At 50.0% G+C, this 23,160-nt stretch overlaps 1 protein-coding gene across 17 annotated transcripts in view, besides 5 other annotated features; it reads left to right on the top strand.

Annotated features, from left to right (window-relative positions):
• The window catches only part of TOM1L2 (target of myb1 like 2 membrane trafficking protein), a 128,890-nt gene that overhangs the window by 70,700 nt on the left and 35,030 nt on the right, over positions 1–23,160 (top strand). For 3 of the 17 annotated variants that reach the window (NM_001350333.2, NM_001082968.2, NM_001350332.2), the window contains exons 3-7: positions 3,027–3,105; positions 7,891–8,040; positions 16,933–17,067; positions 18,838–18,996; positions 21,958–22,074. In NM_001350333.2, the coding sequence (NP_001337262.1) occupies positions 3,027–3,105; positions 7,891–8,040; positions 16,933–17,067; positions 18,838–18,996; positions 21,958–22,074 (640 nt within the window). The remainder of the gene's footprint in view (positions 1–3,026; positions 3,106–7,890; positions 8,041–16,932; positions 17,068–18,837; positions 18,997–21,957; positions 22,075–23,160) is intronic. The other 14 variants (XM_047435386.1, NM_001033551.3, XM_011523662.2 and 11 more) reach the window with 6 other exon arrangements.
• Positions 3,898–3,947: an enhancer, noted in NCBI's record as "active region_11817". NCBI's record gives its function as "activates an Ori minimal core promoter by ATAC-STARR-seq in GM12878 lymphoblastoid cells {active_cell/tissue: GM12878}" and the evidence as "EXISTENCE:reporter gene assay evidence [ECO:0000049][PMID:35858748]".
• Positions 10,601–10,750: an enhancer, noted in NCBI's record as "active region_11816". NCBI's record gives its function as "activates an Ori minimal core promoter by ATAC-STARR-seq in GM12878 lymphoblastoid cells {active_cell/tissue: GM12878}" and the evidence as "EXISTENCE:reporter gene assay evidence [ECO:0000049][PMID:35858748]".
• Positions 12,391–12,892: an enhancer, noted in NCBI's record as "H3K4me1 hESC enhancer chr17:17792123-17792624 (GRCh37/hg19 assembly coordinates)". NCBI's record gives its function as "activates a minimal SCP1, AML or CMV promoter by ChIP-STARR-seq in naive and primed H9 embryonic stem cells {active_cell/tissue: H9 hESC(naive and primed)}" and the evidence as "EXISTENCE:reporter gene assay evidence [ECO:0000049][PMID:30033119]".
• Positions 16,121–16,880: an enhancer, noted in NCBI's record as "H3K4me1 hESC enhancer chr17:17788135-17788894 (GRCh37/hg19 assembly coordinates)". NCBI's record gives its function as "activates a minimal SCP1, AML or CMV promoter by ChIP-STARR-seq in naive H9 embryonic stem cells {active_cell/tissue: H9 hESC(naive)}" and the evidence as "EXISTENCE:reporter gene assay evidence [ECO:0000049][PMID:30033119]".
• Positions 16,881–17,642: an enhancer, noted in NCBI's record as "H3K4me1 hESC enhancer chr17:17787373-17788134 (GRCh37/hg19 assembly coordinates)". NCBI's record gives its function as "activates a minimal SCP1, AML or CMV promoter by ChIP-STARR-seq in primed H9 embryonic stem cells {active_cell/tissue: H9 hESC(primed)}" and the evidence as "EXISTENCE:reporter gene assay evidence [ECO:0000049][PMID:30033119]".

Here is a 23,160-nt window from a genome sequence, read left to right as displayed (position 1 = left end):
GGGCACAGAGGAGGAACTGAAGACATGCAATAGAGCAAGATAATAATGGGGAGGGCATGTTCAGGGTGACAGAAGAGGGGCAGCCATGTCCTCCTTGGGGGTGATGAGGAGAAAGCTTTTCCAGAGAGTAGTCCTGAAGCTGAAGGACAAAGATACAAAGGCTGTGGCTGGAGGGATGACAGGAGGCTTGTTTGGGGATCAGGGAAGAGTTCTTATAAGTCTAGGGTCCAGGGAGACTTTGAGGAGCCTGATCATGGCCCAGAGGCCAAATCACGAGGCTGTGAGCACTGCCTGAGGAGCCTGACCTTTCCCCTGAAAGCTGCTAGGGCTTGATGCCATCTCAACACAGGCCACTGATTCTTCCTGATCCTTTCTTTCTGCTCCATCTTGGCTCTTGACACATGCTTCTGTCTCTTCTCCTGGTTTCCAACTCCACACTATCTAATCTGCTGCAGCTTCTTGAAACTTTGTGTTTCCTTTGACATGACTTTGATCCTCCTCTCTGAAGCTTTTCCCCCGGGGAGAGAGATAAATACTTGCTTTTGTGCTCACCCATCACTCTCGGCCAGTACTTCCCAGAGCCTATGGATGAATTTTCATTTTAAACCTCATCCAGGAAGCTGCTGACTGTCTGATTTCCCACCCCGTGGCCCCCACACCAGGAGAGCCCTGAGTGTGCTGGTCCTCTGCCAGCCAGAAATGATTGCAGCCCTCAGGCGCTCTTCCTATTTTCCTGTTCCATGGAAGTTCAAGAGGACAGAAGAGAGGACTGAGGGGTGTGGCAGCTGTGGGTCAGGGACAGCAGTGGTTTGGCAGAGCCTTGGAGAGAGGAAATCAGTCCATGCTGTTGGCCAGTAGCCACTGAATTTCATCAGCTCTCATGCCACAAACAGCCTTCAAAGCAGAGAGCCGGTTAAGTCCCATATTTGCAGAAATCAGCATCCCCTTTTGGAAATGGCAGCCGTACTGCAGACATACTTGGCCTTGGGCCCAGTCCCCATGGAGCCTTGTGTCTGTCTCATCAGCCCTTTGACCCAGGGGCCAAGAATTCCTACAGGGCAGCCATATGTCAAGCTGGGAATGGGAAACAGGTGATTCAGGGTGTTTTAAAATTTTCTTCTAGTAGCCTTGCTCCTTAAACTTTTTTTCTTTCTTTCTCTCTTTTTTTTTTTTTTTTTTGAGATGGAGTCTTACTCTGTCACCCAGGCTGGAGTGCAGTGGCATAATCTCAGCTCACTGCAACCTTCACATCTCAGGTTCAAGCAATTCTCTTGCCTCAGCCTCCAGAGTACCTGGGACTACAGGCACACATCACCATGCCCAGCTAATTTTTTTGTATTTTTAGTAGAGACAGGGTTTCACCATGTTGGCCAGGCTGGTCTTGAACTCCTGACCTCAAGTGATCCACCCATCTCGGCCTCCCAAAGTCCTGGGATTACAGGAATGAGCCATAATGCTGGACACACTTTCTCTTTTTTATTTTTATGGAGATGAAGTTTCACTCTTGTCGCCCAGGCTGGAGTACAATGGCGTGATCTCAGCTCACTGCAACCTCCGTCTCCCAGGTTCAAGCGATTCTCCTGCCTCAGCCTCCCGAGCAGCTAGGATTACAGGCAGCTGCCACCACACCCAGCTAATTTTTGTATATTTCAGTAAAGACGGGGTTTCACCATGTTGGCCAGGCTGGTCTCAAACTCCTGTCCTCAGGTTATCCACCTGCCTTGGTCTCCCAAAGTGCTGGGATTACAGACTGTGAGCCACCATGCCCGGCCCAGTTTCTCTTAAATTAAGCTGATTAGCAGAGCATCAACCCTTTCCCCTCCTCAACTTCCTCATACACATTTGAAGGGGCCTTTTCATTTGGTAGAGTATAAATGTTTTAAAACTGTAGGAATAGGAGATCCCTGACTTAACAAACGTGCAAGCTGGGAAAGACCAGTATATTGACACATAGATTAGTGGAAGGCTGGAACCCATGTGTGATTGCAAAGCGCTGGCCCACAGCCGGACTGAGGGCTCCCCAGAGCATAGGGTGATGGGTCAGGTCAGCACAGGGGCTTTGTGCCAGGGGCAGCTGCTAGGCCCACAGCTTTGTTGAATCCTGAGTTAGAATAAATTAAATTACATGTTAGACACAAGACCTACATGTAATATGTATACTTAGAGGGCTGCCTGGGAATCCTGACTCTAAGGTATAAGAGTAATTAAGGAAGAACTCACTCCAACTTCCAAACAGCTCCACTCCAACTTTTGGACAGAGCCCATTTGTGAACTGAGTACTGTCTATAATTCTGCAAGATTTTATCTGGGAATCCACCTCAGATCTGTCACCTAAAAACACAAAACTTGTTGGGTTTTAAGGAGACTCACTTAAGCTTTCTCTGGGAAAAGGAGTTCCATGGAATTCAGGAAGAGCCGGGCATCCAGGGCTCACAAGGACCTGGCACGCTCTCTTCTGTGTCTCTCATATGGTTTCTCTGGAAAAACTCTCTTCTATGTACCCACACACCAGTGGGTTAGTTAGGGTTTTGAATAAATAATACTTGCATGTGATACAGAATTCAAGAGGTCTGCAAAAAGGCAGTCCAGTGAAAAACCTCCCTCCGCCTTTGGTTCCCTTCCTTAGGGGCAGCCACAGTTACCAGGTTGTTATAGCTCTTTCTAGAGAGTCTCTTCCCTACGCTGGCACCTGTGCTATGTATGTTTGCTTTCCTTCTATAACTCAACTAATAGCAAGCTTTGTACACTGTTATGCAAAGAACTTTATGCACATGTCTTTGAGTTTGGTGTATATTGGTGCATGAGTTTCTTTATTCTTTTTTGCAGCTGCATAGTATTCCATTGTGTCAATGATTTAATTTAACCTGTTGTGTATTGATGGACATTCAGTTTGTTCCCAGTCTTTTACATTTACAAACATGCTGCAGCCAGCAAATAGTCTTGCATATATACTAGTTCACATATCTGTAGGATCGTGTCCTCAAGTGGGATTGTAAGTATCTTTATATGTCTGTTCTTTTTTCCAGGCCAAAGGATGCCATTCGAGCCCTGAAGAAGCGGCTCAACGGGAACCGGAACTACAGAGAGGTGATGCTGGCATTAACAGTGAGTGCTATTCTCCTTGAGGAGAGAAGTCATCTGGGGAACTCCTTGCTCCTGGCCTTGCCCCCCTCACAGGGCCTTCCCTCTGCCCACTTAGCACAACCTCTGAATGGCTTGGTGCCTGGGCCACTGGAGTCCAGCAAAGCCTTCTGGTATTGCCTTTGGGTTTTCCTGTCCTCTGAAACAGGGAGTGGTGAGCTTCAATTTGGTAAATGTATACGAGCAGAAGATAAGGTGTGTGCAGTGCTGTCAGGTACAGAAGCCCAGAGCAGAGGAGCTAAAGGTTTTGGGTGGGTCCCTTTTCTGTCACCAGCCTGCTCTGAGACTGAGACCAACTCCTTCTCTAGATATCAGTTTCCTCTTTGTAAAAATGTTGGCCAGGCGCGGTGACTCACACCTGTAATCCCAGCACTTTGGGAGGCTGAAGCGGGAGGATCTCAAGGTCAGGAGTTCAAGACCAGCCTGGCCAACATAGTGAAACCCAGTCTCTACTAAAAATACAAAAATTAGCCAGGCATGGTGGCAGGTGCCTGTAGTCCCAGCTACTCAGGAGGCTGAGGCAGGAGAATTGCTTGAACCCGGGAGGTGGAGGTTGCCGTGAGCTGAGATCGCACCACTGCACTCCAGCTTGGGCAACAGAGTGAGACTTCGTCTCAAAAAAAAAAAAAAAAAAAAAGTTAACTTCCACCTATTGAGTACCTGCCCCTGCCTGGGACTGTGCTGAACTTTTTGGACATTAATGAATATGTTTACAACCACCCTCCAAAAGAGATTTTACTATCCTCCCCCGTACAGATGATGAAACTGAGGCTCAGAGAGGTCTGGAGGTTTACCCAGCCTTCACAGCTAGTGAGGTGTACTGAGCTGTGGATTGCCATCATAAAGTGGTCTTTTGCATGGGGTAAAAACTGAAAATAGCTACAAAGACTCTTGAAAAAGTCAGCCAAGTGATTTTTTTCAGGAAGGAACAGACCAGATTTTTGCCCTTACCAAAGCTGTCAGAGAATTTAAAAAGACGACTTCAGGTGTTATTTCTGTCTTGAGAACTAACAGTTTTTCAGATGTGGCAAAATCTGGGCCACAGTGAGTTCTTAAAATAGAAACTGTAACAGGTCACCAGGTCAACTTCTCTGGGGCTTTGAAATAGTAGGTTATTTATCCAAAACAACCATGTTTCCTTTTAAAGCAGAGAACCTGTTTGGATTTTTTGCCCAAGCGAAACCCCAAAACTTATTAAGAGAGTTCTGCCAGGGAATTGGGATTTGAATAATAAAGGAGAAAAGACTGGTTGAGAAATAGGGAGTTGAAGCTTTTATTTTATTTTTTCTCAGAATTTGAGCCACAGCATTCACTAAACCAGGAGTGATGCCCAAAACGAGTGGCTTTCAATAACTCATATCACGAGGGAATGAGCTCTAATATATCAGGGAATTTTACTGCTATCTAAAACATCTCCATTTACACACCCAACTTCATGGTAATCGTGTTGGATGGAAATCTTTCTAAAGTGAACTCTGCGTTTACTTGCCTTCCTCTAGCAGGGCATGATGGACACTGTTTGACCTTTCCTTGGGTTAGGTCTTCACTACAAACCCAGCCATGCCTTTGGGAGGCCTGTGAAATGCGCAGGGCTGCCGTCCCTACACTGAGGCCCCATCCTAGCGCGCTTTGCATGGTCTCACGTCTGCTGATAGGGCTTCACTTACTCTCTTAGTCACTTTCAGTCCTCCTGTTTCCTGTGGCCCTCTCCGGACTTCATATCTGTACCCACCAAAATTGTTAATATTTACCCAAAATAAGTTAGTAAGAAGCCCTGAGGGGCTCTCTGCTTGTGTCTTCATTTGTGGACTTAAACATCACTTCTGATTGCTTAGAGGCCCCGTTTACTTTCTCCATGGCTTTTGGCTTCATTCTGGAAAATTACCACTGTATGTTTCATGCCTTTCAACCTATAGGGACAAAACTGCCAGGGTCCTGTTTGGCAGGGTGGCCTAAAGCGGCTCTTGCCAGCCCAGGGAGGACCTCCTAGATCTCCTGCTCAGATAGGCTTTGGGGCTGCTCTGTGGCACATGCATCTCTGTCCAGGGCACTTCCAAGACCAGGCTGGGACACACTGACCTTGAGGACTGCTGTGCAGGAGAAACTAAGCATGTATTCCCTAATGGCGGGCAGTGGTTCCTGCCACTGTTGCTCTGAGAGTGGAGTGGAGCCCCAGGCTGCTCTACTCCTCAGACCTATGCCTGTTTTTCCAATTCTCTTCCCCACTCATAATTGCAGCCTCACCTTTCCCACCTGCTTCTCACAAAATAAAGCATACTTCTTGCCATCTGCCTTGACCCCAACACCCCACTGCCTGAGTTGGGAGGAAGGTTTTAGAGAATCCTAGAGAGAAGGGTGCCTGTAAGGCCCTTGAGAACAGAAAGAACCCCTCTGGTTCATTTCAGTGCCCCCATGGATCACTACAAGAGAGTGAATGCCAATTACCTCACGGTTACCAGAATCAGGCACAAGCAGAGACTCAGAAAGGAAAATGCCTCCTTGGCTTAGTAAAACCTGTGGTCACTCAGAGGCCCTGAGGGTGCTAACCTCCAGAATCTTCCTTGGCAAGCCCAGAGGAACCCGGGGCCTCCTAAGGTGCAGCCAGCAGCAAGGCAAGGAACGATTCTGGCTGGCTGCGGAGCTGCCTGGCATGGGGAGTCCCAGCTTTGGCCTCCTAGGTTAAGTTACATGGTACCTCTGATCCTCAGCTTCCTCATCTCTAAAATGGGATGATTCCCATCTTACAGGGTTATTTCAAGGACCAAAGGGGGGAACAATAAATCTAACACATGTTGCCTGTCATCTGAGGCACTCTTAGCTGATGTGGCTGCTTGGAGGAGAGCTGTGAGGGAGGGATGGCCCTGTGGCCTCAAGGTGGGCGAGGAGACTGGGGCTCCAGAGAAGGCTAATCACAGCTCTTGTGCTCCTTCTGGCACTGACTGACAATTTGTACCTAGATCAATGTCTTCACCTTTCTAAACCTCTTAACTCTAAAACATGGGATATTAAGGTCCACTTAAGGAGAAGTAATTAGTTGTGAGAATTGGATAAAACTCCATATGTTATGGAAGGATCTCTCATAGTGCCTGGCATATAGTCGCATTCAGTCAGTGTTCCAGTTATGGACCTTTCTTTACGGCTATGTTTTGTCCAGGTAAAGCCCACTTGCTTGGACCTAGCCCTGTGGGATGGCTGCAGAAGTTAACCAGTGGTTGGATTAGTTTGGGCAAATGAGAATAATTGAGGTAGTCAGAAATGTTCCCTGTTGCTGGTGACATCGTTTTGAGGAGGCATTCCCCAGTTAGTAGACTGTGGCACTGGGGGCTGTTGGCATGGGAAGGGCCAGGTAATCCTATGGGTTGGTTTACACAGTGCTGGGAAGTTCAGAGCACTCCCAGTTGGCACCTCCGAATTCCAAGAGGCTACATACCTGTCCTATGGGAGGATAAGAGGCCATCCCCTTCGTCGTGTGTACAGCAGCCTTCTGAACAGTAATCACGTAATCATGGTCATCAGTTATTGGGCACCTCCCCTATGCAGGATACTTTGCTATGTGCATTATTTTATGCATGCATGCATGCATGTATGTATGTATGTATGTATGTATGTATGTATGTATGTATGTTTTTGAGACAGAGTTTTGTTCTGTTGCCTGAGCTGGAGTGCAATGGCGCGATCTTAGCTCATTGCAACCTCCACCTCCCAGGTTCAAGCGATTCTCCTGCCTCAGCCTCCCAAGTAGCTGGGATTACAGGCATGTGCCACCAAGCCTGGCTAGTTTTTGTATTTGTAGTAGACGCAGGGCTTCGCCGTGTTGGCTAGGCTGGTCTTGAATTCCTGACCTCAGGTGATCCACCTGCCTCGGCCTCCCAAAGTGCTGGGATTACAGGCATGAACCACTATGCCCGGCCTATGCTTTAAACGTATTCTTGCTAATCTTTCCAACAATCTTGCAAGGGAGAGCTCATCATCTCTGCTTTACAGATGAGGATGCTGAGGCTCAGAAAGATCTGTCCTGGGCCATTCAGGGAGAAAGTGGTGGAGCTGAGGTTCAAGCTCTCACTGACCGTCTGGCCAGAACCAGTATGCTGGGCTTTTCTGAGCAGCTAAAGCCTGTGTCACTTGTTTTCCCAGACAAGGGAGGAGCAGGCAGGGTCTGAATTGAACATGGACATTAAAGTCACCTGGCAGCTGAGGTCCACAAACCATTTGTCAAGAGTGGAAAATCCTTTGTCATTGCCAATTTTGGTTGCAGAAGCAGGGTTGAGTGGGGGATGTGTGTGTGCATTTGCTTTCTCACATATAAGGGCCAGTAACTCACTAAGCAATTCAAGCTGTCATAGCAGCCTCCTCTTGTGACAGAGCCCATGTCCGATTGGCTAATGCCTTATACCCAGAGGCCCAGAGAGAGGAGTTAAAATGCTAATTTTCAGGGACCGCTCAGTCATTTTGATCCCATTAAAACACTAGCATCCTTCTCATGCAAAACTGGTGCCTCAATTACCAACTAATTGCCTGATTATTGTGCAGGGACAGGAGACTTCAGTCAGTAAGGGGCTGCTGTCATCCCTGGAGAATGGAGTGTGGGAATGCGTGTGCCATGCAGGTTTGGCTCTGGAGGAGACGTGTCAGAAAGCTGATCTAGGAGCAAGACAGAGGGGATGGTGGAAACTCAGCTGCGCTCCTCAGTTCCCAGTGTCTTCTCCAGCTCCCACTGGGGTGACCCTTTTCCTTCCCTCCCCACATCAGGTGCTGGAGACATGTGTGAAGAACTGTGGCCACCGCTTCCACATCCTTGTGGCCAACCGAGATTTCATCGACAGTGTTCTGGTCAAAATTATATCTCCCAAGAACAACCCTCCCACCATTGTACAGGACAAAGTGCTTGCTCTGATCCAGGTAGGTTGGACCCCTTGCCCAATTTGTTGGAACAGAGTAAGATGAAGTCTCTTATTGATGAGTCCTCATGCTCTCCCACCATTTGGAGGAAAAAAAAAATGGAGACTTCTACATTTAAAATATTTGGTGCAAAATACTTCAAAAAAAATTCTCATCCCACTGGAATGAAATTCTAATTGATGGCTCTCCAGCCAGTTAACAGAGCCTTCCTGAAGCTTTCTGGGTGCCATCCCTCTGCTGCTCACAAAGGCAGGTAGGGTGGCCTCAACAGGCCTCTGAGAAAACTTGGAGTAGGAAGAACCATGTTAGAGCTACGTGCGGGTTTGGTGAGGTCACAGGGCAGGGGCCAACTCTGGGTCAGGCGGAGCAAGGTAAGGGGCTGGGGATGGTGTTAAGGGATGTTTCACTGAGGAGATGACATTTCCATTGGACCCTGAAGAATGATGGGGAGTTTGGTGGAAAAGTCAGTGGGAGAGACTTCACAGGCAGGGAGAATAGCATGTGCAAAGGCCCAGACGCATCAAAGAGAGCAGTTGGCATATTTGGGTTGTATTTGTTATCACTCACTGTGTTACAAATTACCTCAAAACATACCTTCAAACGGAAAATGTTCATTATCTCTTAGTTTCTGTGGGCCAGGAATTCAGGAGCAGGTGGCTGGGCAATTCTGGCTTGGAGTCTCTCTTGAGGTTGCATTGTCTGAAGGCTCGACTATAGCTGGAGGCTCCACTTCCACCATGGTGCACCCACATGGCTGTTGGCAGGAAGCCTCAGTTCCTTGATGACTATTGGCAAGAGACCTGAGTTTATCACCATGTGGACATCAAGATTAGGTCTTGATGACCTAGCCTTGGAAGTCACATACCATTTTTTTCTGTTATATTCTATTTGTTAGAAGGGAGTCACCAGGCCTAGCCTCAAGAGTAGGGGAAATAAACTCCATCTCTTGAAGAAAGGAGGATCAAATAATTTGTGGACATGTTGTAGAGACCACTATGTGGGGAAGGGGGTGTAATGAAGAATGTTGGGGGCAGGGCTTGGGGTGGGGGAGCAGGCAGGAGATGGGACCAGAAGGATGCCCAGAGGCCAGTGGCCATGCATGCTGAGGAGGCATGCTTGGTCCTGTAGGCAGTGGGAAGACATCGAAGGGCTCTGAGCTGGGATGTGTGCAGACCTGGGTTTTAGACAGAGCACGTGGTGACACAGAAGGCACATAAGTCAACAGGCACATCCAGCCTGGGTGATTAGTGCTGTGGCAGAGGCAAGACAAGGGCCTGCAGGAGCCAAGAGGAGAGACAAACCTAGGGCTGGGCGTGGGGCTCCAGCAAGGGCAAAGGGAGGCAACCAGGCAGAGGCAGCGGAGAATGCAGGAAGTGGAGTGCCGGGGCAGGCCGGGCTCTCAGATGGGTCAGGTGTGCAGCTGGAGAGGAGCCTCTGTCCATTCCCTGTGCTCACTTCCCTCTGCCTGAAAGGTCTTTCCCCAGCTTTCAGAGCAGTGACTCCTCCTCCTCATTCACAGGTGCCTCGGAGGCCTCCAGCTGGTTTTAAGCACACACACTCTCTGTCTCACATCATCCTTTTTTGTGGTCTTCAAGACTGGCTTTGCTAACATTTCTTTTGTCTGCCTCATTCTTCGTTCCCTAAGAACCCAGGGACATGCTGTCCCCAGGGTCTAGAGCAGTGTAATGTGTAGAGCGGGTGTTCAGTATTTCTTTATAATGAATGAGTGAATGTAGTTAATTCTGAGGAACTCTGGGAGGCCTTCCCCTGTTTACCCTAGGGTTGTCCCTCGTCCCTGTTCTGCCCACCCAATATCCTTCTGTCTCTCTGTCTCCCTCTGACACACACACACACACACACACACACACACACACACGTGTGCATGCACTTTACCTTCCTCATACACCCCACTCTACCACAGCCCTTCCTTCTGGGGCTGCACTCCCCTACCTCAATACCCCCAGGAATTCATGTTAGGAAAACAAATGGTGGCTTCTTCTCACAAAGCATGTCCTGTGGTAGAGCTTTCTGACCCCGAGGCCTGTCTGCAGGGTGGCGGGCCCAGCAGGGTGGCTAGCCTACCGCATGGCAAGCACAGTTATCACAAGGGGTGTGAACTGCACTGTCCCTGCTGACTGTGTGGGGACCATGGCTGAGGGCAGACACAGCCTTCTTCACTGGCTGTGGCCCACACCTCTACCCTGAGGATGCCTGTCCCCGCACACCCTGCCCTCACCTCCAAGCTTTCCTATCAGGATCACCCCTCCACACTTTCCAGCTCCTCCTAGCTTTTACCCAGTCCTGCTGCTAACCTCAGACAGGTGTACTAATTTATTGTGGGCATGTACCACCTTATCTGTAAAATGGAACTTGGGGTTCTTGCCTGTCTGCTCTCAATCCTGAGCCCATGAGATCAGCCCAAGGTGTGAAGTGGCCAGCACCATGTTCTGAGGCCTCCCCCTGCTGGTCTGGCAGTAGCAGTGTGTGCTGGCCATGGGGACCTGAGCAGAACAGGGCCTTGAGATGCCTCACAAGCTTCTGCCTGGCTGGACAGTTTCCTGGTCCAGCTGTGAAAAGCATGGGCTTCAGATAAGGGTGCTACTCCTAGATGGGGGTTGATAACCCAGCTGGAGAGTGTTCTTCCTCTCCAGATTTGCAGTGTTCCTGAAGAGCTCTTACCTTTGGTAACGGCTGCCCAGCAGAGGACAGCAGGCAGCATTCAGCTGTGGGTGGCTTGGCTTCTGTAACAGGGTGAACCAATGGAATAAACAGGATCCCTAGCCCTTTCTTTTTTTTAAACTTTTAATTGAATTATAATATATATACAGGAAATCACACATAAAAGTGTATACAACTTGATAAATTTTCACAAACTGAACATGTAACCAGCCCCTGCATCTAGAAACAGAATATGACCACACCCAAAACCTCCCACCTTCCGGATGACCACTTGCCTGAGCTCTCACAGCATAGACGAGTCTTCTCTGTTCCTGAACTTCATCCAGAGTGCTCTGTTGCCTCTGCTGTGTTTGTGGGTGTCACACGCATTGTTGCCTGTGATTCTAGGTCTTTCGTTGCCATTGCTGTGCCAAGTCCTGTTGTGTGAACACACTACAGTTTATTTACCCCTCCCACTGTTGATGGGGACTTGGTGTTTGCAGTTTGGGGGTACTGTGAAAAATGCTGCTATGAGCATCTAGCACTTGACTTTTCTTGAGCATATATATATTCCTTTTTAATGGGAATATATTAAGTTGAATATGTGAAAGTGCCATCTTTGTTGGTCAAAAATGGCCAAATATTAGCAATTTCATATGTATCCACCTCATACCGGGGTGTGAGGTTGCTGTGTGGTGGGGAATGGGCTCCACTGGGCTCTTGGGTGTTCTCAGCCACCAGCACCCAAGAATGTTAGTTGCTTCGCATCCTCACCCACACACCCTGTTTTCAATCTTCTTCATTAGAGCATGGAGTAGCATTGCATTGGGTCAACCTTTTTTTAGCCCCTTTGAGAAAGAAAGTACTTTTATTTGCATGTTGAATATACTTTAGAAAACTTAAGACTCCCCCAGAGACTCTGACAATTCCCCCAGGAGAGAAAGTGCTGCTCCCACCATGAGACAAGAATGGGGTTGGAGGTGACAGGTCACTGGCTGCCTTGCCAGCCTGTGAGTTGGTAGCAGCTCTCATATCAATGCGGCTAGGCTGAGAGGAGGTTCAGCTAAGTGTGGGGTGCCAGAGCGGTAACAGACTTCTCTGCACCATCGTGGTATCAGGATGCTTCTTGGTGCTCTTCAGAGAAGTGGGACAGGGTCAGTCCTGGCCCTACCCTCAGGGAGCCTGCAGTTTAACTGGAGAAGCAAAGGTTTGCAGATGACAGAGGGTGAGGGCCCAGCCAGGAAGGACTTAAACTGGCTTTTGACTGTTTGTGGCTTGGGGGTGGAGTGGGGTACAGCCTTAACCTTTCCATTATGGAAAAGTAGATCGAATGTGTTAGCACTTGAAAAGCTTTCAAGGTAAAGGGGCCACACAGACGTGCCTCCCTAACACCTCCTGCCTGTGAGGCATGGTTGGGGGTCCTGGCAGAGGTAGAACCCATGGCTCTGATTACCAGCTGCTGGCCAAAGCCCACTGCCCCTTTGGTTGCCCTGAGGATGGTGGAAGCAGAGCTGCAGCCAGATTGAGGGGAAGGGGGAGGTTGGGCTCCACACTAGCTTTTCCAAAGTCCCCCTGTGCCTATAGGGAAGTGGGTGATAGAGCTCATCCGTGCATATCTGCCTGCCCCCAGCCCACCTTCTGATTCCCTTTCAGAGTGCCATTCGCAGGCATGGTCAGCCTACCCAGTGGCACCTTTGCCATCAGTAGCACCCTGGCCAACTGCAAAGAGAATCCAGCTGATGCCTACCCCTCCTTTCCCCACTGTACTCCTTCCTTTCCCGTATGGGGGCTTTCTGTCTTCTGGCTGCCCTCCAGCCATCCGTAGCCACCCCATCCCCCTCAACCCGCCAAAAGACAGACCCAGCAGTGTGGTTCTGGTACTTTTTACCAACATGTGCGAGGGCTCAGTCGGCTTACCCGCACCACAGGATCTGCCTTTCTGGATGGAGCCGGTCTCCCTGGGAGGATGGGAGGAAAGACACATTGAGAGTGGTGCAGCCTGGTTGGTAGCTTGCTGACACTCACTTCTACCCCCAGGGGCACCAAAGACTTCCCTTCCGGCAGCTTTCAGCTTCACCCCTATGTTTTCACCTCATGCCTTGGCTGGTGTTTTGGCTTGTGTCCCTTTTTGTTTGCTTACATTAAGTCCCATTTGTTGAGAAGACAAAAAGGATGCTCCCACTCTATGCCATCCCTGAGCCTTTCCCTTGAAATTGTTTTCAGGAGCGGAAATGGAGTCATCCTGGCAGAGTCACCTCAGTGTGGTCATGCCTCTCCAGCCCCCCTCCCCATGCCCCAGCAATAGTCTAACCATATGCACTTTCCACTGAAGAAAGTGAACTGATTGGGGTGGGGATGGGAGTGGGGACAGGAGAAACTGGAGGTGTGTGTTCTTTGAAGACGTCAGAGCCTGGTAGCTGGGCTCTGGCCAGATTCTGTGTGGACAGCAGCTCCCTGGGGACCCTGTCACTGGGAATAGGAAGTCTGGTCTGGGGCATAAGCAGGAGCTGACAGAAGCTCCCTTCTATCCAAAGGCATCCCAGAGCCCATAGTTTAAATCAGCAATGGTTTATTGGTCTGAAATTTGATGATTCAAAGCTTTGTCAAAACTTTCAGGGATACAGAAATGAATAGGTTATGGTTTATGTTTGTTTCTGGTTTTATTCTGGGGTTTTGTATACGGTCCAAAGGAATGAAGGAGATCTGAATTGATCTCTTTCCTTTTTTCTCCTCATTAGACCTTCCTCTGGGTCTTCCAAGCCCCTAATCTTGTAGCCACAGGCAGGAAAAGAAGGCTTCCAGTGAACTGACCACTTGGCCATTAACCAGCTAGCTCCTGTGACAGGCCCTCAGAGTGTGCTCACACCGCTGCATCACTTTGCTTTCTGAAAAGGCAGCTTTAAGAGGGGGCAGCCTCCCCCACCCTCAGTGCTGCTCTCAGGCTTCAGGTTAAGCACTCCAAGAGTGGCCAGACCTCCTGAGGCTTGCCACATCTTCTCTAGGGAGTATTCTCAGCTGGGTCAGCCTTCCAGCACCCCTCCTTTGTCACTGTCACTTCAGTCTGTTGACAGCCTAAGTGGCCATCTTTCCTCTGTTCTCTGAAGTAGGAAAATAAGGATGCTTAGTAACTGTGAGAACTGAATTCAGTTTAACCTGATAAATGTTGACTGACTGCCTTCTCTGTACACGGGTGAGAGACTCGGTGTCTGCCTTCAAAAGGTGTCTGGGCTGGGCGCAGTTGGCTCATGTCTGTAATCCCAGCACTTTGGGAAGCCAAGGTGGGTGAATCCCTTGAGTCCAGGAGTTCAAGACCAGCCTAGGCCACATGATGAAACCCCATTTCTACAAAAAATACAAAAATTAGCCAGGTATGGTGGCACATGCTTATAGTCCCAGCTACTCTGGAGGCTAAAGTGGGAGGATTGCTTGAGCCCGGAGGCAGAGGTTGCAGTGAGCTGAGATGGCACCACCATTGTACTCCAGCCTGGGGGACAGCTCTGACCCATGCCCAATTATTGAGGCATGTCCCAAGAAGATGCTAGGGACACATGGCATCTCTGGATGTCTCCCATCTGTACGTTTTCACATATGAATGGGAGACACCCAGAGATGAGAGACACCCAGAGCTGCATTTATTCAGAGGCGCCCCTGCACCCCATTTTTTCCTCTGTTGGCATGAGAATCCTATTCAATAGAGATTGCCATCATGAATATCTGCTCTGTTAGCAGCCATCTCATCCAGTCTGCACAGAGGTCCCAGATAAGGGTTGGAATTGTGGCAGGTAGGAAGCGGGTAGATTAGCCAAGACTACTTGATCGCAAATAACAGATGCCAACTCCAGCTTGCCTAGGCAAAGAGAAGAGTTTGTCATGACAGGGCAGAGTCTCCCAGAAGTCCAGGTCACCCCGCCCTGGGAAGGGACAGAAAATATCAGGAAGGCCTTCCAAATCCTCTCCTGTACGCCTGCACCTCCGAGCACTCTAGCTGCTCCTTCTGGAGAACATAGGCTGTCTCTGCTTCCAGTCCTGTGCTGGCACATGGCCCTGGAGTTACAGAGGACAGTTCTGCCTACCCAGTGAGAACATCCCAGCTTCTAGTGCTGCTGAGTTCCTGGAAGGAGGAGCATCTGATTGGCCCAACTTGGGTGTGCATTTCCCTCCCACTCCAGTCTGTCTCTGTGAACATGGAAGCAGAGTGCCTTAGAAAGTGGACCCGAAGAAGTATCCTCCAACTGGAGAGAAGAGCCATAGTTCTTTCATCTTTATTCCTATTATCTCAAATTTGGCTTGGGTAGAGAGCTAGATGAATTGAAAGGAATCCCTGGAGCTGTTGGTACTCCATGTACAAAGGCATGAAGTGGTGCCAGGAAGAACTGCCATGTGTTTTTTCCCCAGCCTCCGACAGTGGGCTGTGAAACTGGTTTTTAGACCCTAAAGTCAACACCCTAAACTAAAATGCTAGGGCATTTTGAGGTTGGCGTCACAGGACTTAGCTGGATTTTGAACCAGGTGGAGGCAGCCAGCGCAGCTGGTGGGGGCGGGGCCAGAGGCACTCCCTACGGGCAACCTACTCTCCTCCAGCTGGGCCTTCCAGACAGTGCTCTGTGAGGCACTTTCTTTGGCCCTCCTCAGAATCCAGAAGGAGTGTTGGCCAAGAGGGGCTGTCCTGATCCAGTAGTTTTAAATCCCTGAGCATGCAAATTAAATAAGTGCATCAGGGAAAGCCGGGCTGACAGTACTGTTCCTGGTGAGATGCATCAGTCATAATTAAGGAGGCTTTTTGGAAACTGACCTTTTAACTTCAAATGGGTCTGTTGGTTAGAGACAGAGTTTCTGTGGCTGCCTCAGGATTGGTTGTACCACATTGCTGGAGTGAGGGAGACAGTTAAATTCTGTGACAATGACAGACTTGGCAATGGAGTCATGGGCACAGGAGGCTCTGCCTCCTCCTTTGGGTATGTATGGTGAATGGGACAGCATGAGAAGGGCCATTTCTGGGAAGGCCTTTGAGTATTCTGTTTTTGATACAGTCCAAGACTTCCAAAGAACAGAATTTTTTTTTTTTTTTTTTTTTTTTTGAGACGGAGTCTTGCTCTGTCGCCCATGCTGGAGTGCAGTGGCGCCATCTCAGCTCACTGCAAGCTCTGCCTCCCGGATTCACACCATTCTCCTGCCTCAGCCTCCTGAGTAGCTGGGACTACAGGCACCCGCCACCACGCCCAGCTAATTTTTTTGTATTTTTAGTAGAGATGGGGTTTCACTGTGTTAGCCAGGATGGTCTTGATCTCCTGACCTCGTGATCCGTCCGCCTCGGCCTCTCAAAGTGCTGGGATTACAGGCATGAGCCACCGCACCCAGCCCAGAATTTTTTTTTTAATTTTTAAGTTTCATGAGTCAACAGAAATGATAATCTACTTGAATTTTTGCTCTTTCCTCTCTGTGATATGTTTTCACTGAAGGGAATCTGGTGATTGTGCTTTTCTTGGGATTTTTCGATTTGGGCACACATGTGCTGACATTTTTGGCAGCGGACATCATGAAAGAAGCTTGGGTCTGGGAAAAGGACCCCTGGGGGTGAACTCCCCAGTCTGGCCTGGGTCTAGCTCCCAATGGGCTCTTCTTCCCTTGAACCACAGTCATCTCACCTACTGGCAGCAGCGCTAGACAGAGCTAGGCTAGACAAGCTCAGCATTAGTTGTCTCTGATCTGAGGAAACCTGTAGTTAGCCTTTACTTCATGTCACACATCAATTTCTCCTTTCCTTTCTGCTCAATTTGTTGCCGGTTCCCAACTCCACCAGTAGAAGCTTTCAGGGCAGAGGTGCTCCCGCACAGAGGGCAGGCACCCTGCTGAGCTGACAAGGCTCCAGCTTCCACTCCCTGCAGCTGAACAGCCCCAGCAATTGATTTCCTTGCCATTAGGGAAATTCCTGCTTTTTAGGATGCACCACCGTGCATAGGTGTTATTTCTCTGTCTCTTCTCCAAGGAAATACATGCTAAATTAAGTTTTGTGTTTTTGTTCACGCTCAGCAGCACCATTGAAAGCCAGGGTTTCACCAGCTGTGTCGTGGCAGCAGTTGCGGAAGGAGAGGAACAGAATAGGTTTAGCCAGTGCAATTTGCATGTGCAAGTAGGAGAGCACTGGTCTCGGGGAGAGGACGTGGGCCACTTTGGATTTTCAGATACCATGGCAGCTCTGAGAAATGCTTCCTAACAGGCCTTCTATTATCCCAGGCATGGGCTGATGCCTTTCGAAGCAGTCCTGATCTCACCGGCGTTGTGCACATATATGAGGAGCTGAAGAGGAAAGGGGTTGAATTTCCCATGGCAGACTTGGACGCTCTGTCTCCCATACACACACCACAGCGGGTAAGCTTCCAGCTGGCACTTTCTAGAAAGACCTACTGCAGAACGGGTGAGCCAAGCTGCTGCAGCCACCCTTCTGCTGCTGCCTTTGAATTATTCAGCTTGTCATCATGCTTTCTTAAAGCTCGGGGGCATTCCTTTTTAATAACAAGGGGCATGCAGGAGTGAGACAGCTGGTTGACTGGTGATTAAGTGGCAGCAGTGTCTGTGGAAGAATATAATAAAGGGATCAGTTCAGGGTTTTCATGGAAATGGCTACTTGGGCGGAGCCATCCTGTGAGGGTCATTAGCACCTGCTTTTCAGAGGCCCCTAGAATCTGGTGTGGGAATCCTGTTGTCCCTCAGAGCACCATAGCACCTCAGGGCTTGATGTCACTCTTGGGTCAAAAAGTAGCTTTCTGTTTTTTCAATTGTACCAAGTCAAATGGATCTAAAATTTATTTTGAGCTGTGAGTATTCAGCATCAATCCAGAATTGATTCTGGATTCAATCCTTGATTCCATCAGCCTTGGGATCAAAGCCCTGGGAAGGTCCCTTTAGGGGCATCCCACCAAAGCTTTTGCAGTGCCAACAGTAACTTGAGCACCGTGGAGGGGGCAGCTTGGCACTTCAGGGTTAAAAGCATGTAGGTCATGCCTCATGGTTTCTCAAGGAAGCTAGTCCCTCTACTGGCTGGGAATCAACTCCACTCCTAGCCTGGGGGAGAGCCAGGAAAGCACCAGGGTCTGGGAGAGGCACCTCATCCCAGTACACTTCACCTTGCCTGCCCCCACTGCCCATCTCTGAGAAGGATAGCACACCTGTGCACATCTCTCGTAGGAACACGACTTAATTTTAATGTGCAAGAGGTCATCTGAGATACCCAAAGGGCAAGCATGAGGGATTGCCCTTTCTCTTTTTTTTGAGTCGGAGTCTTGCTGTGTCGCCCAGGCTGGAGTGCACTGGCACAATCTTGGCTCACTGCACGCTCCGCCTTCTGGGTTCACGCCATTCTCCTGCCTCAGCCTCCTGAGTAGCTGGGACTACAGGTGACCGCCACCATGCCTGGCTAATTTTTTGTATTTTTAGTAGAGACAGGGTTTCATTGTGTTAGCCAGGATGGTCTCTATCTCCTGACCTTGTGATCCACCCGCCTCGTCCTCCCAAAGTGCTGAGATTACAGGCGTAAGCCACCGCACCTGGCCCAGGGGATTGCCCTTTCTGGAGGCTGTTTTCATCATGATCCCTCCAGACCACGCGCTATGCTTTGTGAAATCAACATAACCTGTTTCATTCTTCTAATAATGACAGAGAGCAGTGTTGTTGTTCCTATAATTACAAAAAACATTTGGTAAATTGCATAATTACTATTTATATTAGTCTACTTGTAAAGACCAAAAAAGTAATTCTTATGGTACCAAGTAAAGATCTGTGATTAGCAAAACTTAATAACCGCCCTCCCTCCACTTGGATCCCGAGGTGGTCTTAATAATAGGAACCATGACCAGAGGGCTCACAGAGCACTCTCGGTGCTGCCTTTTGGAGTTGCTTTCATTGGTCTGCCACACATTCCTTGAGAGGTAAGTAGAGGGAGGAGCCATTGGCAGCCCCACTTCCCAGATGGAGAGCCTGGGCTCAGTGGGGTTCTGTGAACCTCACCCGGGCAGCAGTGGAGCAGGGCCTTGAGCCTTTCGTGGGCAGCCTTGGGGAAGTGCTGCATGGGGTGGGGTAGGTACCAGGTCCAGCTATGCAGGCAGCCCAGGTAAACAGAGGACTTTGTTGTTGCCATGCCAGAGTGTCCCTGAAGTGGATCCAGCTGCGACCATGCCCAGGTCCCAATCACAGCAGAGGACAAGTGCTGGTTCCTATTCCTCGCCGCCTCCTGCTCCCTACTCCGCACCGCAGGCCCCAGCTCTGAGTGTGACTGGCCCCATCACAGCCAATTCAGAACAGGTACTTGCATACTTCGGGGCCATAGGCAAGCCAGCTGACTATCCTTTTTCATCTTTCTGGGAGACACTTACAAAGGCCTCCCAAGCCAGGTATTGTGCTGGGTGTTAGGGACACAGAGATGGAAGGGCTCAATCCCCAGGGGAGAGAGATGCTGAGGAAGTCATGATGGATTGTGGTCAGGCTGTGGTGGGGAGCAGAACCAAGGGCTCAGAGTTGTGAGCCCAGGGTTGAGTGGTGCCTGGGAGGCACCGGGGACCTGACATGCAGAGGGTCCTGACACAGGAGTTGGGCTTTGTCAGGTGAGACCGCATGCTCAGCAATGACATTTAAATGCAGAGATGCAGACGCTGCTCTCTCGGAGCAGCAGGTGGCTTGATTGGAGAGCAGGCGCATATGTAGGGCCCAGATCTGGGAGGAAACCATGGCAGAATGTGAGGCCAAAAGCATAGACGTGCAGCTGAGTTGTGACGGGCTTGTCTATCATGCAGAGGCTTAGATCTATCCCATAAAAAAAGTCAGCCATCAGAGGCCTGTGACCTGATCAGGGAGGCCCTCCTGAAGCACAAGAAGCCTGCTTTTATCCCAAACACTCCCCACCCTCCCGGGTTACTTCCTGATAAACTAATGCAGTTTTAACCCCACACTGGATTTTTTAGATGAATTGGGGAGTGCTCTTTAGAAGAATCCATAGAACTTCAATTAGTTACAATTTGAGAATTGGTCAGACTTGGGGGAAAAAAAAACTCTCCAATGTTTATATTTACCAAATCCTTATTTACTATTTGCGACAATGTCATGACTGTGGAACCTCACTGAAGCAGAGGGGTCAAGCAATGTGTGTGTAGGGATAGCAATGTGTGTGTAGGGATGGCAGTGTTGTGTCGTGTTCCTCACACTTCCCTGCTAGCTCTGAGCAGGGAGTACGGTGAGAGCAGGAGGAGTGAACTTGAAGCCCCCAGGGCCTGGGTGTGAGCCCCCAGCTCTGCTGCTCACTCTAGGCTTCAGTCAGGACATTTAACCCCGGTCTCCCATCAGTAGAACAAGTGATTTGTTACCCCACCAGGCAGCTGTGGGCTTGACAGGCAGATGGAAGAGGTCCTCATTGTGGCTACCCAAGTGCTGTGGGAAAGAAGGTCTCTGGCTTTTGGCCCTGCTTCTATGGGCAGAACTGTGCCCTTCCTGCTCTGAGGGAAGGCAGAAAATGTTTGAAGTTGGACAGTTACTGAGCCCCTTCACCGACTCAAAGTGTGGGAGGTGCTTGGGAAGGCCCTCCTAGTAGCCAGAAGATGCTGGGTCTGCAGGGTCTGGGCATAGGTAGCACAGGAGCCCTGAGGCATGTTGCCCCTTGGAGAGCAGAATGCAAGCAGAGGTAGGCAGGTCAGCACCCAGCCTGGCCAAGAGGACCCAGGGCTTCAGAGTCTACTGGGTGGCTGCCCATAGCCTTCCTGGGCCTTCCTAGCCAGAAACCTCTTCTCTCTACCAAGACTTTGAAGAAAACCCCTGGATCATCCACCAGGCAGAGCCAGAGGCTAACAAGAGCCTCTCAGGACCCAGACCATCTCCCTGGTAGACCATTGATTGAGGTCTCCTGTCCCTGTCTCTGTGCTGAGGGTATAAAGCTCAACCCAGCTGAGTTCCTGCCCTAAGAAGCTAAAGGTCTGCTGAGAGAGCCCACCCACACAGGAGAGGCTGCTACAGCTGCAATAGTGGAAGATGGCACAGCGAGTGGGAACCTGAGGAGGCGGGAGTGGTTGCTTCTACCTCAGGATGGGGTGGGGAGAGTCAGAAAAGGCTTCACTGGGGAGAGAAGTTGTCACTTAAGCTGGGTCACAGTGCAGGAAGAATGACATTACAGTTCCTCTCTCTGGACCTTTGAGCAGGAACAAGGGCCGTATGTGTGTAGTAGAGAGCATACCTGCATGCCAGGCGCCGCATGGGAAACTCACAGCAGCCTGGTGAGGTTAGTGCCACCTTTCTGTAGGTGAGGAAACGAAGGCTCAGAGAGGCTCAGGTCCGGCTCTGGATGTTGCTGCTGAGTCTTCCAGGGCTCCCTCCAGTGTCCTGTGCAGTTCTTGACCTCTGTCCAGCGTTATTTGGTCTCTTGTCACTGAGTGATGGGACCAGTAGCCACCTCTATGCAGATTCTTCTATGATATTTCACTGTGGGCAAGGAAGGTCCCTGTGGTTTCTGCAGATCCTTCGAGGGGGTTGAGGGAGTGAAGGGGCAGATCTGAGGCACAGGACTGAGGGCAAGGGGAGAAAGTGTATGATGTCTCTGTTGCTGGAGAGGAGCCTTGGGCCTTGGCCCAGGTCCAGGCTTTGGGATCGCTGATGGGCAACTTGGGTATTTTTCAAGGGGCTGTGTTACCATGTAGGGAGCTGGGTGGGGAAGGTGTCTCCCCTGTCGTCTTCCCCTGTTCTCTCATTCTTGCCGCAGCAGAAAAGTGCTATTGACACTGCCCAGCCTCTCAGAGGGATCCTAGTGTTTAGATGTAAAACTCCTAGGAGCAGAGTCTATAACTCAGAGCTTTGTAGAATAGGATCTCAGCTCTGAAGGGATCTCAGAGCTCCTGCCCTCCTGCACTTGGATTTTAAAGAGCAGGAACGGAAGCCCTGAGAGGTTCAGCTTCTACTCAAGTTCCCGTGGTGGGAGAGCCGAGACGGAGAGCCAGCTTGGTGCACTCCTGACACGGAGCCCTTCACTACGTGGTACTGCTTTCGTGTCACAGTCAGAGAGGCACAACAGACTGTTGGTGGCAGGGCCCATTCAGCTCTCTCAGAGCTGACAGGCAGGCCAGAGGGAGATGAGAAGGTGGCCTCTGCAGTGTGCACTCAGAAAGGCAACCCAGATCTCCCAGTGAGAAGGATTGTCACTAGACTAGGAGCAAGCTGATTCTGATATTGCAAGTGCAGGCTGACTGACCTTTCCTTCCTGCTTTCCTTCCTCGTGGCCCCCACCAGATTGCCAGGCTGCGGAGTGAACTGGACGTCGTTCGAGGAAACACAAAAGTCATGTCTGAGATGTTAACAGAAATGGTCCCTGGACAGGAGGATTCATCTGATCTGGAGTTGCTGCAGGTGAGTCATCTTTCAGAAGCACTTGGCCTGTGGTGGCAGCTCTTCCACCGTACACTGTTGGAGGATCCCACCCGGGGACACAGCGGCAAGGCGGGACAGGTCCAGTGGCCCTGTTGTTGATAGTCCATGTGAGCACACATGCAGCCTCACGTTGCCTACGGACAGGCAGAGGCCAGTACCACTGTCTGTCTTTTTTATTTTCCTTAATAACATTTTTTTCCTGATTATAAAATGCCAGTTGTAGAATACATGCTCACAGAAAGAAAAAGAAAGCACAGAAAAGAAAATAACTTTCTTTGACCCAAGCATCTGTAAATAACCACTGTAGGTGCTTTGATGTATTTTCTTTCTGACTTTTTTGTAGGTTTATTTTAAATGTAGTTGAGCTTGTACTATTTCTGTATTTTGGTCCCTCAACATCACATTTTGCAGGAGGGCCTGTTCAACCTTGACTGTGCACAGGAGCCCTTGTAGTGGCACCTCACCCCCAAGGTGTCCTGAGACTGAGATGAAGTGTGATGCTCCCATGCTTTTCCCTAACACTGAGGATTCCCAGGCATATTGTGGTTTGCCATTGCAAACTGGCCTCCCCGCCTCTGGACAGCCCATGGATCTGGGGGCATGGCAGAATGGGGTCCAGGAGTGGGCGGCCTGCAGTCTACCCCTGAAACCAGGGTCAAGGCCCCCACCTCAGGCCTGTTTCCCAGGGCAGCCAGGTCCAGAGCCAGTGCCCAGATCTCCACCACACCCAGCCTCAGATGACCCTGGCATTTGCAGAAAATGTCAGTGGTACTGCCCTTAGAAGCAGTGACCTTCTGGAGGGTGGAAGAAGGATGCTGTGAACTGCAAGGCCCCACACACTTTTCAATGGGAGGCAAGATGCTTGAGGGAACAGGTCAGGAGCCAGACTGATTTAGCAACCTGGCATGAGTTTCTCATGATACACCTGCTGCTGCTGCTGATACTGCCATTTGTGTCTGGCCCTCCGTTGTCAGTCTTGGTCCCCAAGTGCTACACCTTCTACCCTGCTGCTGGCACATGCTTGCCGCCTGTGAAGGCCCTGTCCTGGTCCCAAGTTGCTGCTTA

Source organism: Homo sapiens, chromosome 17 (genome assembly GCF_000001405.40).
Source record: "Homo sapiens chromosome 17, GRCh38.p14 Primary Assembly".
NCBI lineage: Eukaryota > Metazoa > Chordata > Mammalia > Primates > Hominidae > Homo > Homo sapiens.
This window is presented reverse-complemented; position numbering and strand designations above follow the sequence as displayed.